This window comes from Homo sapiens, chromosome 7 (genome assembly GCF_000001405.40).
Source record: "Homo sapiens chromosome 7, GRCh38.p14 Primary Assembly".
In the NCBI taxonomy this organism is placed as follows: Eukaryota; Metazoa; Chordata; class Mammalia; order Primates; family Hominidae; genus Homo; species Homo sapiens.
In genome coordinates this window covers 149,321,641-149,335,629 of record NC_000007.14, presented here as the reverse complement: position 1 = coordinate 149,335,629, position 13,989 = coordinate 149,321,641, and the positions used below count along the sequence as shown (strand labels likewise).

At 40.5% G+C, this 13,989-nt stretch overlaps 1 non-coding gene and 1 pseudogene across 1 annotated transcript, besides 3 other annotated features; both read right to left on the bottom strand.

The window, feature by feature from the left end:
- NPM1P12 (nucleophosmin 1 pseudogene 12) lies at nt 460-1,633 on the bottom strand (annotated as a pseudogene).
- Nucleotides 4,358-4,652: an enhancer, noted in NCBI's record as "tiled region #1294; HepG2 Activating non-DNase unmatched - State 7:EnhWF, and K562 Activating non-DNase unmatched - State 9:DNaseU". NCBI's record gives its function as "activates a minimal TATA promoter and a strong SV40 promoter by Sharpr-MPRA in HepG2 and K562 cells {active_cell/tissue: HepG2 | K562}" and the evidence as "EXISTENCE:reporter gene assay evidence [ECO:0000049][PMID:27701403]".
- Nucleotides 4,430-4,501, bottom strand: TRC-GCA9-2 (tRNA-Cys (anticodon GCA) 9-2). The gene has a single exon. It is a non-coding gene; the product is annotated as a tRNA-Cys (tRNA).
- Nucleotides 13,243-13,422: an enhancer, noted in NCBI's record as "active region_26813". NCBI's record gives its function as "activates an Ori minimal core promoter by ATAC-STARR-seq in GM12878 lymphoblastoid cells {active_cell/tissue: GM12878}" and the evidence as "EXISTENCE:reporter gene assay evidence [ECO:0000049][PMID:35858748]".
- Nucleotides 13,772-13,989: a silencer, noted in NCBI's record as "fragment chr7:149018732-149018949 (GRCh37/hg19 assembly coordinates)". NCBI's record gives its function as "represses an EF-1alpha promoter that drives an FKBP-Casp9 reporter gene in an ReSE screen in phorbol 12-myristate 13-acetate-treated (for megakaryocytic differentiation) K562 erythroleukemia cells {active_cell/tissue: K562(+PMA)}" and the evidence as "EXISTENCE:reporter gene assay evidence [ECO:0000049][PMID:32094911]".

The window sequence follows — 13,989 nt, the reverse complement described above, 5'->3', positions numbered from 1 at the left end:
AGTTGCCTGTTTACTCTGCCGATTATTTCTTTTGCTGGGCAGAAGCTTTTTAGTTTAATGAAGTCCCATCTATTTATCTTTGTTTTTGTTGTGTTTGCATTTGGGTTCTTGATCATGAAGTATTTGCCTAAGCCAATGTCTAGAAGGGTTTTCCAATGTTATCTTCTGGAATTTTTACAGTTTCAGGTCTTAGATTTAAGTCTTTGATTCATCTTGAGTTGATTTTTGTATAAGGTGAGAGATGAGGATTCAGTTTCATTCTTCTACATGTGGCTTGCCGATTTTTTCACACCATTTTTTGAATAGGGTGTCCTTTTTCCTCAGTGTGGGTCTCTTTAGGTCATCTTACTTGGAATGCATTGAGCTTCTTAGTTGTTTTTTTCTTCTTTTTTTGAGACAGGGTTTCATTCTGTCACTCAGGCTGCAGTGCAGTGGCATGAGCTCAGCTCACTTTTTTTTTTTATTAAATTACTGAGCTTTATTTCACATGCATATTTTTGTCTCCCTACCATTTCCATATCTAACCACCGCTATTACTATGTCCTATTATAACATTCCATACATACCTAAAACCAAACAAAGGGCAGAGTTCCATCTTTAAAAACTAAACAGGCATTTTGGACAACACGTTCTTGGCAATGGAACCTAGACAACAGTTATCAAACACGGTAGGGAAATTTCTCACTCTGCATTATAAAAAAGACAGCCAGATATCAACTGTTACAGAAATGAGATGAAAATTTTTTAATAAATTGTTTAAACTATTTTCTTAAAGAGACTTCCTCTACTGCCAGAGATCTTGAATAGCCTCCTGGTCAGTCATCTGGAAGCAATTCTTCACATAACTGATGAACTTGGCTTCCACTGTGGGAATAGAACCACCTTTTTCTATACTTGCTTGCATTTTTGCTTTAATGTCTTCTACAGAACTAGGTCCTTCTGGTGTTTCAGGAGTTTTTTGCTGTTTTTTGAAGGATTCTTGTCCATTTGATCTTGATGTTGATGGTGGTTTTGAGTCTTTTCCATTCTGATTTGACTTTTGTGCATTTTTGGCTTGGAGTATCTCATATAGATTTCTTCACTGGTGTTTTTCTTCAGTTTCCTTATCATCAAAATCATCACCATCATCATCTTCATCAGCAGCAAGTTTTACTTTTTTCTGTGGAAGCTTGCTACCACCGCCAGGGGCAGACTGCTTTCCAGATATACTTAAGAGTTTCACAACCTCCTTGTCTTCATCTTCTGACTCTGCTTCTTCCTCCACAGCTACTAAATGCTGTCCACTAGTATGCACTGGCCCTGAACCACACTTCAACTGTAAGACCACTGGTGGTGTTATTTCAAAGCCCCCAAGGGAAACCGTTGGCTGTACAGACATTTTCAAAGTTGCCAGTATTACTTTAATTGGACTGCCTTCGTAATTCATTGCCTCTGCTTCAACAATGTCCAATTCATCCATTGCACCAGCCCCTAAATTGATTGTTGTTAAAGGTAACTGGTGCTCATTTTCATTATTATCTACCTTAAAGTGATAATCTTTGTTGGCCTTTAGTTCACAACTGAAAAGATAGTTCTGGGGCCTCAGGGGCCTCATCCCCATGTCCACGAATCTTCCATCAGGTGGTGGCACGCACTTAGGTAGGAGAGAAGGTGGATGGAGATAAACGACCACTGCGCAAGAGAACAGCCGCACAGGAGAGAATGACAGCAGGGTAATCTCAGCTCACTTTAACCTCTGCCTCTTGGGTTCAAGCAATTCTCATGCCTCAGCCTCCTGAGTAGCTGGGATTACAGGCATGTGCCACCACGCCTGCCTTTTTTTTTTTTTTTTTTTTCCCAGTAGAGATGGGATTGCACCAAGTTGACCAGGCTGGTCTCAAACTCCTGACCTCAAGTGATCCACCCACCTCAGCCTTCCAAAGTACTGGGATTACAGGCATGAGCCACTGTGCCCAGCTGAGCTTCTTAGATTTTTATATTCATGTCTTCCATCAATGAAAGTTCATCAAAACTTTCATCAATAGTTTTCAACTATTATTTCTTCAAATATTCTCTCTGTCCCATTTTCTCTCCCTTCCTCTTCTGGGAGTCTCACAATGCATATGTTGGTCCACTTGTGGTGTCCCATGGGTCCCTTAGGCTCTGTTCACTTTTCTTTAGTCTTTTTTCTTTCTGTTCTTCTATATTAATTACCTTATCTTCTGTGTTTGCCATACTTTTGTCTTTCCATGTTTTATGATGGATAGTTTTTCCTCCCAATGTTTTAGTTCACTGATTTTTCTCACTGGCTTAATCTATTTATTAAGAAGAGCATAGACCTATTCGTTGAGTTTTTTAATTTTAGTTAATTATATTTTTAGACATAAAATTTATATTTTGTCTTCTTTTCAAATCTCCTAAGTTACTTTTCATGCTTTTAAATTTCCTTTTGAAATTTTCAGCCCCCGCCTGGCCAGCCGCCCCGTCCGGGAGGTGGGGGACGCCTCTGCCCGGCCACCCCATCTGGGAAGTGAGGAGCCCCTCTGCCCGGCCGCCACCCCGTCTGGGAGGTGTACCCAACAGCTCATTGCGAAAGGGCCATGATGACAATGGTGGTTTTGTCGAATAGAAAAGGGGGAAATGTGGGGAAAAGAAAGACAGATCAGATTGTTACTGTGTCCGTGTAGAAAGAAGTAGACATAGGAGACTCCATTTTGTTCTGTACTAAGAAAAATTCTTCTGCCTTGGGATGCTGTTAATCTATAACCTTACCCCCAACCCCGTGCTCTCTGAAACATGTGCTGTGTCCACTAAGGGTTAAATGGATTAAGGTCGGTACAAGATGTGCTTTGTTAAACAGATGCTTGAAGGCAGCATGCTCGTTAAGAGTCATCACCACTCCCTAATCTCAAGTACCCAGGGACACAAACACTGCGGAAGGCGGCAGGGCCCTCTGCCTAGGAAAACCAGAGACCTTTGTTCACATGTTTATCTGCTGACCTTCCCTCCACTATTGTCCTATGACCCTGCCAAATCCCCCTCTGCCAGAAACACCCAAGAATGATCAATAAATACTAAAAAAAAAAAAAAAGAAATTTTCAAGGTTGGCTGTTATCTCCCTCAACACAGTAACATTGTTATTTTATAATGTTTCTGGTAGTTCTAATATCCGAAGTCCCTTTGTTTAGTTCTGTGGTCTGTTATTTCTGTTTATTCTCATTTATAGCTTTTTGCTTCCCTGTGTATTTGGTTATCTTTGACTGTATGCTAAAATTTTACTTAAAATTGTATTTGTAGAACTAATCTAAGGCCAGGGATAATAATATCTTCCTTTATTTGCTTTTTCCAAGTATCTGAGCAATCAGGACACCTTAATATAATTTCAAGGTTTGAGTTTTCCTGAGCCATTCAAACGTTAAAAAGCCTAGCCACAAATTCTTACAGTGGCTGAATTTCTTTCCATTTACTCTTACCCCTTGAGTTCCTAGTCCAAAGTCAGAGTTGGTCTCATCAACGTCTGTACTGTAGTTGGGCCCAGAATTCTGACTTCTATCTCCTTAGTTTTGAGAGGTTCCCAAAAGCTCCACTCAGCTTCTCAGCTGCCTCTTCTGAACTGAAAAATACACTCAGGGCCAAAGCAGCTTTTAGTAAGGAGATTTAAACTTCTGCTTCCCATCATTTCCAAATCTACATCTGGTATTTCCTGTGTTAGCTCTTTGATACTTTTAATGAGATGTTTTTCATATTTTCTGAATTTTTATTTGTCCTCATATAAAAGATTATTTCAGATTTCTTTGTTCATCAAGGAAAGTAGAGAATCCTCTGAAGATTTGTTACAGCCATTTATATGTCTTAAATATTTTATCTGAATTTTTAAATATAACATAAAGTAGGGTCTACTTCTAGGTATTCTCATCAAGGAAATACTGACCCAGGGTAAGAAATAAGAAGTGTTAGGAGAGAAGAAGGGAGAATCAGATGGCCAGAATCTGTGGTAGAGGCAGCACCCTCAAGAAATTCACAGACAGAGAAAAGAGACAAATTTGACATTGCTTTCAAATCATTATAGTTGCCTCTGGGAAGTAGGAAGCTGCATATATTTCCTTCATACTTCACAGTAGTAGCAAGATCAAAGAGATAGTCTGTGCCTTCTTTCTGGAGATTACGGTGAGGCTGAGGAAATGAGATACCGAGAAAGAGTGAAGTCCACATATAGACCATGAAGGGCAAGAGACCCAGAGGTGGGGCTTGTCTGGGCTAACTTGGTCAGCCTCTTCAATCAAATGTGACCCTAGTAGTTATTATATTATCTGGGTGATGATCAGGGGAGGATTCTTAGACCTTGTCCTGATCCAGACACTAAATTTTATCATGAAATAAAGCACACTAATGGTCACATGTGGGGAGAAGGGGCAGAAATCCCAGCACTACTTCAGTGATTAAAAGGAGTAGGGGGCACCTGGATTTGAACCAGGGACCTCTTGATCTGCAGTCAAATGCTCTACCCCTGAGCTATACCCCCAGGCCTTGTTCTACATCTTAATTTCACCTTTACAACTGTGCAGCTGATGGCTGTTTCTGGACTCAGCCATGTTCCTGAGGGGTGTGGGGAGCCTGCCCATGATAGCCTGGCCCTCACTGCCATCACTCACTCCCTGGTCTACCTGTGAACACCTGACCATATTTCATGTGCCAGGCATATCTTTACCTCTGCCACCCCTGTTCCATCTGCCCTGCAGTGGGCAGTCACTGGCTGTCCCAGCTTAACAGAAGCCTAGTTCCCCTCCTGCCTTCCTGTACTAGGGTGCTGAGGAGCAGAAAAGTCTCTGCATAGAAAGACTAGCAGGTCTGAAACGAGACCTGGCCACAGCCTCACACCCTGAGACACAAGATGACCTATTGTCCCACTTTCTACTGCATGAGTCAGATTGTGGGGTTGATCCCCAACAATATGCTAAATATTGAGAAGAAATAAGGTGAACAGCTTCAGATTCCCTTAAGAAGAAAATTGATCGGGGGGCTGGGGAAACACTGTGGTCAATAGCTGTGAGCCACGCAGGGTATGGAGGCTGGGTTTCAAGATTCGTTTCAGAGGGCGGGTGGCTCTGCATGGGCAGCAAGAATAGGGAGGCAGTAGGGGCGGGAGCTTACTCCCATCTGAACAGCTGGGTCCTGCATGGGGGGCAGAGCCAAAAGAGACCCCACCACCACTGGTAGACAAGCCAAAAAAGGCTTTAACTCACCTATCAACCCTTCCCAATGCCTCACCTCATCCATCTTCTCTCCCATAGACAGTCTCCAATAAAGTCCACGAAGCTCACAAGGACTTTGGGTAAGTAGTGAATTTGTCCAGAAATACTGTGGAGGGTCCGCAACACCCATGGGCTGCTTGTACCAAGTTTGCCAGTCACTCTGAAGTAATTTCATATTTACCATGTTTTTTTGTTTTCTCAAGGCCACTTCAACATGCCAGAATTGACCGTAGACTCCCTCTGTTGGCCCAAGATCATGATACTTTCAGCCAGCCAGCTCTGCTGAAGGAGCTAAAACTGGACCCTTAACTGAGTGTCCTGGGCCCCAAACCCTGCCTAGATGGAACCTCTCCCTCAACAGCCTTGCACAGGCACCTTTGCCCTCGCAGTGAGGCCACTGGCTGACTCCTCCCCACACCTGAACCTCCAGCCCTCTCTCTCTACTATGTCATCTCTTCCCACCCTCTATAACACTGAGTGGAGACTTATTGGAGTAACTCTGCCAGGAAATGGGCCTAAAGGCATGAAGTAGCCAAGGGTGTGCCTCAGGCTCTATGGGACAGGAGCAGGGAAGGAGCTAACATCAGCCCCCAGGCTGGGAAGACAAGGAAAGGTCACCTTTATTAAAGGCCTTGTACCTTGATACATTTTGACTCACTATTCCATTGAGTTTGGACATTTAGGTTATTTCCAATTCTTTACTATTTGGAGGAGCATTGCGATGAACAGTGAATTCGTCAAAGGGTCTTGCTGTTGATGCTCTGTCATGTCTCTGTTCAGCAGTGGCCAGATGTGTGCTGAGAGGTAAGGCAGGAACTGGAACAATTTACTTGAGTCCTGCCAGATAATATCTGCACATCATCACACTTGGGCCCCGGAGTTAGAGGACCTTTACCATTCAAAGAGGAGAGTCCAAGCCTGTTGGAACTGCATATGCAGGATTGCAAAAGCATGAGAGGCCAAGTAAACAGAGAGAGAGAATTGCCCCCTGGCACTGGCAAAATATTAACAAATATAGGCCATCAATAAGCTCAATGAAGGCTGTTTCCATGGATCAGGTGAAATGAAAGCTGGATTGGAATGGGAGCAAGGATGTGAGGTCGATGAGAACAGTTGATTAATTTGAGTGGTTTTTCAGGAAAACAATAGCAGAAAAATTGAACAGGAACTGGAGGGTCATGGAATCAAGAGAAACTTTTACAAGATGAATGATAGTAAAGCATGTTTATATGCTTACAATAATACCGTAGAGAGGGAACAAATGATGCAGGAGAGTAAAGACATCATCATGATGTGGTCCTTAAGGGAGCAAGGGGTGGAATTTAATTCACAAGTAATAGGTTGGCCTTGGGTAAGAATGGGAACCCCTCCTTACAACAGAGGGAAAGGCAGATTATGTGCAGACAGACGGAAACTGTTTGGTTGGAATTGATAGAAGAAAGATGGAAGTGATTCTCATCTTACTGCCTTTATTTTCTGATTATTCAAGATATTTGTCAACTTAAGCAACAGAAAGTGAGACTCTCTAAAAGAAAATGATGTGTGCCATAGTAAACTATCTGCATATTCAGGGAGGTAAAGGAAGACAAAGGTTATTAAACGAAAAGCGAGGATTACATAATTGTTTTAATTCTTGGCTACAAGGATAAATAACAAGGGCAGCACCAGTGCAAGGCTGGACAGGCAGCAACTGAACAGATGTCCCTACAGAAGCATTTTTGTGTGTGTAAGTTTGCAACGGCCTTTGTGCAAAGTTACGGATTTTGCAGTCTTTTGTGATGGTTCTTGTTATCAGGCATTCATGCATAAGAACTCTCCCTTTCGCTGGGTATGGTGGTTCACACCTGTAATCCCAGCACTTTGGAAGGACAAGGCAAGAAGATCACTTAAGCCCAGGAGCTCGAGACTGGGCTGTGCAATATAGAGAGACCTTGTCTCCACAAAAAATTTTAAAAATTAACTGGATGTGGTGGCATGTGCCTGTAGTTCCAGCTACTTGGGAAACTAAGACAGGAGGATTGCTTGAGCCTGGGAGGCACAGGTTGCAGTGAGCCAAGATTGTACCACTGCATTCCAGACTGGGCAGCAGAGTGAGACAAAGTCTCAAAAAATTTTTTTAAAAAATAACCCTCCCTTCCTTTTTACAGCCTCCTCCAGCTCTAATTGTCAGAGTTTTTTTTGTTTTTTGTTTTTTGTTTTGGTTGTTGTTGTTGTTGTTTGGAGATGGAGTCTCACTCTGTCACCTAGGCTGGAGTGCAATAGTGTGATCTCAGCTCACTGCAACCTCTGCCTCCTGGGTTCAAGAGATTTTCCTGCCTTGGCCTCCTGAGTAGCTGGGACTACAGGCACGTGCTACCACACATGGGTAATTTTTTTGTATTTTTAGTAAAGATGGGGTTTCACTGTCTTAGCCAGGATGGTCTTGATCTTCTGACCTCATGATCGCCTGCCTCAGCCTACCAAAGTGCTGGCATTACAGGCATAAGCCATCGCACCTGGCTTGTCAGAGTTTTTAATACAATTAACTCCATTTTGATTCTGACAACTTCCACCTTTCCCCCGTTTGATCAAGGTCTTTCTCTAAAAGCATTGCTGATCAAATCATTCTGTAGTTAGGATTATGTTCCTTGGTGCTGAGATGAACCTGTCCCAAACTGCTGCTCTGGTCCCATTTTGGAGGGAAAAGATTGGCCACAGTGGCGTGAGCCACTGTGCCTGGCCTAAAGATTTTTATTTAGTTAATTGATCTTAAAATTATTAGAAGCCCATATTTAAGTGTACTTGTTAGAGTCTCCTCCATGAATCTGATTCCAAATGCTTTTAGAGAAAAATCAAAACAATAACTGTGGATGACAAAAACTTAAAATAATCATGTTTAAAAATCTGATGTAAGTTCATTATCATCAGCAATTGACACAGAAATTTGGTTATTTTTGTGGCATACAACATAACCCAAATTATGTCTAATGACATTATATTTTTAAGAGTTTAATACAATTTTGGAACATTTAGGTCAATAACATATCAGAAATGTGGCTGGGTGTGGTGGCTCACACCTGTAATCCCAGCACTTTGGGAGACTGAGGTGGGTGAATCACCTGAGGTCAGGAGTTCGAGACCAGCCTGTCCAACACAGTGAAACCCTGTCTCTACAAAAAATACAAAAATCAGCCAAGTGTGGTGGCACACACCTGTAATCCCAGCTACTCAGGAGGCTGAGGCAGGAGAATCCCTTGAACCCAGGAGGCAGAGGTTGCAGTGAGCTGAGATCACACCATTGCACTCCAGCCTGGGCAACAGAGTTAGACTCCATCTCAAGAAAATAAAAATTAAAATAACGTATCACAAATGTGACTGAAAAAATCTAGCATCACTTATCATCTGACAAAGCATCCTGTATAATTTACCAAACAAGCCTAATCATTTACTATCTCTATAAAAATGAGAGATACATCTTTTGATGCTCTCCTGGGGCTCAACTGGAAAAATCACAAAGCAAATTCAAGATCAAAAAGACTTAATTTAGAATTTTTACATTGGGAAAGCCTGTCAAAGATGCCAAAACTTTTTAAACACCTGATTAAAACAGGATTACAGGTCACTGTGAAATAATAGTCATTCATTTAACCATAGTGATAGTCAAAAATTTCAAGAGCAATACAGAAAGTTACATGGATTTTTTGTAGACTTAAAGCTTTCAAAGCTCAGTTTTCCTAAGTAATCAAAAACCTAATAAAGACTGTTTCTTAGAACAGTTACCAAAAAGATAAGACAAACATCCTGAAATGTGATTGCTTATTCTTACAGGAAGCTCACTTATATAACATGGAAGTTGAACCTGATGAAAAAGCTCTTTAAACTTAATAAGATTGTGTGTCCAAGGTTATGAGTGTAAAACACATTATAGAGGAATGTAAACAAAAAACTAGTATCTTGAGCAGCAGAATGCATGGCTCTTGGTAAAAGCATGGGAAGTTCGGCCGGGTGCGGTGGCTCATGCCTATAATCCCAGCACTTTGGGAGGCCGAGGCAGGTGGATCACGAGGTCAGGAGATCGAGACCATCCTGGCTAACACAGTGAAACCCCGTCTCTACTAAAAAATACAGAAAATTAGATGGGCACGGTGGCGGGCACCTGTAGTCCCAGCTACTTGGGAGGCTGAGGCAGGAAAATGGCATGAAGCTGGGAGGCAGAGCTTGCTGTGAGCCGAGATCGCGCCACTGCACTCTAGCCTGGGTGACAGAGTGAGACTCCATCTCAAAAAAAAAAAAAAAAAAAGCATAGGAAGTTCCTGGTTATATGGAACAATTCAGAAACATCAAGAAATCAAGTTATATTAAACAAAAACATTTCTCTTCTAGACCTTCAAGATAAGTATTTCAGTGTCAGGCCATACCAGCAGAGTTAGAACTAGAGAACTGAGCTGATGAAAAAGTTAAAATTATCACCCCAGCCAGGCAAAAAAATGAATATATTACTTGCAAATCACCTGCAGGGAGACACAGCCACAGTTGAACTTCTGAGATATGAACCTGGGAAGTTGAATTTCTGAGATATGAACCTTGAGGTAGAGGAAAACTCTACCTCAAGAAATAAAATTACCATTCTAAATGATGAAGACAGCATTTTCAACTGAAACTAGGGAAATTAAATAAATCTCAGGACGAAATGTGACATAAATAGAAACCATAAAACAGGAAGAGGCTGCAGTTTAGAATACAGCTGTTAAACATTTCATAATTAAAATCAAAACTTCTTGTAATTTTACTTCAAGAAAACCTTGTTCTAACATAAGGGATCACATTTTTAGTTTTGTATTAGTAATTTTTAACATAAAACCTCAATGTTTAGAAATAATTTTAATAATTCCCTTCTAATTATAGCCTACTTGATCACACACAAAAAAGTTATTTCATAAATGCATCCTTCACAAACCTTTCACGACTTGCACAGACCTTCCATGACATGCTTAGACCTTCTGCTTTGTCCTATACTTCCTCTTTCCCAAATAAGTAGTCGTTTTACTTTGGGACAAAAATATACCACACAAGATTATTTCTCATATAAAATTATTCTCTTTTCTTTTTAACCTTCCTTACCAAAATTACAGTTCCATACCTATTAGTTTCTTCATCTCTCTCTCCTACTTACTGGTTACTTTCTATATTGCTTCTATTTCATTCCTAAACACATATTTTGAAACAGCCTTTAAATAATCTCTGAATTAGACAAAATTACTGTTTTTTTCTCAATAAAGAACACATTTTTAAAGCCTAATTTTTCTCATCAAATGATTTTTGTGTACTTTGTAGACAGAATCATATATATTAATTAGAATTTTTAACTCTTAGTAACCTTAAATTCTAGTGAAAACCTAGGAAGCAAAAAATTTTGAGCTGCCTGTCACATATTAGTATTTTATAGATGGAGAACCATGTTATAATTTTTAGAAGTATGTTTCCCCATAACACAATTTTTATTTTGTATTAGTAGATCTAAATTTATTTAGTCTTCCTATAAAATTTAAGATGCCGAGAATAAACTTATATTTATGTTTAGCAATGTATGTTTTAGTATTTTGTCTTACTTAAAAATAACCCAGACATTTAGTATCACTTAATTTAATAATGTTAAGATTTCAAATTGCATGAAAAGTTTATAAATGTGAATCCCATTTATATTGATTTATTTTAAACAATTATACCCAGATTACTTACGAAAACTAAAATAGTAGACAAAACTAGTCATCATTTTAAGTCATTTCCCTGTTAGCCCTTTTCTGTAGCCTGTGAATATCAGGTATTCACCTGAGTAACAAGTAACTTTACATATGTGGATATTTTGCCAATACCTCAGAAGATACAACTGTTTTTACTAAATCAACAATGTTAAATTAGTCTTATTTATCAAAGAGTTACAAAAAAAAAGATTAGTCTGTTTGGGGGCAGGGCTTCTAGTTTTATGACCTTAAACCATTTAGCAGAGGCAAATATAATCCCATTTGGCCAGGCCAGGCACAGTGGCTCATGCCTGTAATTCCAGCACTTTGGGAGGCTGAGGCAGGTGGATCACCTGAGGTCAGGAGCTCGAGACCAGCCTGGCCAACATGACAAAACCCTGTCTCTACTAAAAATACAAAAATTAGCTGGGTATGGTGGCAGACACTTGTAATCCCAGCTACTCAGGACGCTGAGGCAGGAGAACCGTTTGAACCTGGGAAGCAGAGGTTGCCATGAGCCAAGGATCATGCCACTGCACTCCAGCCTGGATGACAGAATAAGACACTGTCTCAAAAAATAATAATAAAATAAAATAATCTTATCTGGCCAGCAAACCCAGGCAAAAGTATATGCTGACCATTTTAAAGGCCTTTCTATTTTTATCAACAAATTAAAACTAGCTTATTTATCAAAGATTTATGTAAGTCACATAAACTAAAAGGTATTTGGGTTAATTATTATATATTTTCTGTGAGTGCTCATTTAATTGCTTTGCCCCTATGTGGTAAAGCAATTTTTTTTTTTTTTTTTGAGACAGAGTCTTGCTCTTTTGCCCAGGCCGGACTGCAGTGGCACTATCTTGGCTCACTGCAAGCTCTGCCTCCCGGGTTCACACCATTCTCCTGCCTCAGCCTCCTGAGCAGCTGGGACTACAGGCGCCCGCCACCACGCCTGGATAACTTTTTTTTGTATTTTTAGTAGAGACGGGTTTCACCGTGTTAGCCAGGATGGTCTTGATCTCCTGACCTCGTGATCCGCCCACCTCGGCCTCCCAAAGTGCTGGGATTACAGGCGTGAGCCACCGTGCCTGGCCGGTAAAGCAATTTTTATGCTGGGTGGAGATACCTTCCTTATATTATTACTCTGAGCTCAAGGTTTTGACTTGTTTGATCTGGTAGCCTAACTTTTATAAATATTTATTTAGTTCTTTTCTTTTAGAATGTCAATCCTTTAATTTTTCCATCACCTTGAGTAGTTGTTAGTTGGGCAAACCTGAATTTTCATTTCCAAAAGGTGTCTAGGTTGTTAGTTGTCATGGAGCTATTGTAATTTGTAAAGCTATTGATTTGAAAGCCCTTTAAGACTCCTTTTTAAATAATCTTGGCTAGGGGCAGGACATGGTGGCTCATGCCTATAATCCCAGCTGTGGGAGGCTGAGGCAGGAGGAGGGCTTGAGGTCAGGAGTCCAAGACCATCCTGGGTAACATAGTGAGGCCCCTGTCTCTACAAAAAAATAACAAAATTAGCTGGGTGTGATTGTACTCAAATGTGGTCCTAGCTACTCAAGAGGCTGAGGCAAGAAGATCACTTGATCCCAGGAGTTGGAGGCTGCAGTGAGCTATGATCATGCCATTGTACTCTAGCCTAGGTGACAGAGTGAGACCCTATCTTTATTTAAGTATATATATTTAATATATATAATATATAATATTGTATATATATTTAATATATATATTATATATATTTAATATTGTATATATATTTAATATATATTATGTTAAATATATTTATCAAATATACATAATATATATATTTAAATAGAGAGAGAGAGAGGCTGGAATGCCATAACCAGTGAATTCATCCTAATGCCAGGAGAAAAGTCATCAGAGTCAAAATAAGCAGAAAAAAGTAGACAGAGAACTTGGAAGAATCTACATGTTAACCCTATAGTTGGCTGCAGTTTTCTTAGAGCCTGTGAATAATGACCATTTGTGCTCTACATTTTTCTTGGTGTAATTTGCCCATCAGTTTTAAAATGTACATGAGAATCAACTATGATACAGCTGACTGGAATCCCAAAGGAAGGTTTTAGTGGTATGCCTTTAGAATTTGATAATCGCGTTCCACTTCTTGTTTATCTCTCAAGGGCAAAAAAAAAATCCTAGAAATCCTGTCAAAGAATGTGAGTAATTTGAACTGGCATGACAGATAGCAGTGACCACCTAGTAGCTTTTAATTGGTCATCTTATGCCCACCATTTAGAATGTTTTTTTTTTTTTCCTCTCAGAACATGTTCAGAAACAAGGGAGAAAAGAGCCAAATCACTTACAGATACATGTGACCTGACCAAAATGAAACCAAAAGTAAGAGTGTTCATAAAAATTTTAAGCCAAGTATGCAGACAGATACGGTTTGGATCTGTGTCCCCACTCAAATCTCATGTCAAATTGTAATCCCCAGTGTTGGAGAGGGGCCTAGTGGGAGGCGACTGGATCATGGGGGCGGTTTCTCATGAATGGTTCAGCACCATCCCCTCGGTGCTGTCCTCATGATAGTGAGTGAGTGAGTTCTCTTGAGAACTTTGCATTGACCACATTGCTGGAGATGAGGATCATACAGACGGAGTAGTAGCTTGTGCTGCTGGACTAATAGGGGACTTATATACAGCATTTGGGAAGGATGTACTGAAACTAGTAGAAGCTAGGCCACTGATCCATGAATTGTTAACTGAACGGCGGAGATCGAAGACGAACAAAGCAAAAACCCTTGCTACACGGGCAACAAAAGAATTCAAGAAACTGAAGGACCAAGCTTGATCTGTTACCACTGGGATGATAACCTGAGGACCCCCACTGGAAATCTCCAATCTTTTGAAAAACCTGGAAGTGAGGAGTGTGCATGGATGCTGAATGTTTGGGAATGAGAGGATGAGTGAGTGAGGCTTGAAAACACACCACATTGAAAATCCTGCCACAGCAGCAGCCGCAGCCGCCGCCGCCAACAGCAGCACTGTCAGTGAGCTAAGTAAGCACTGACT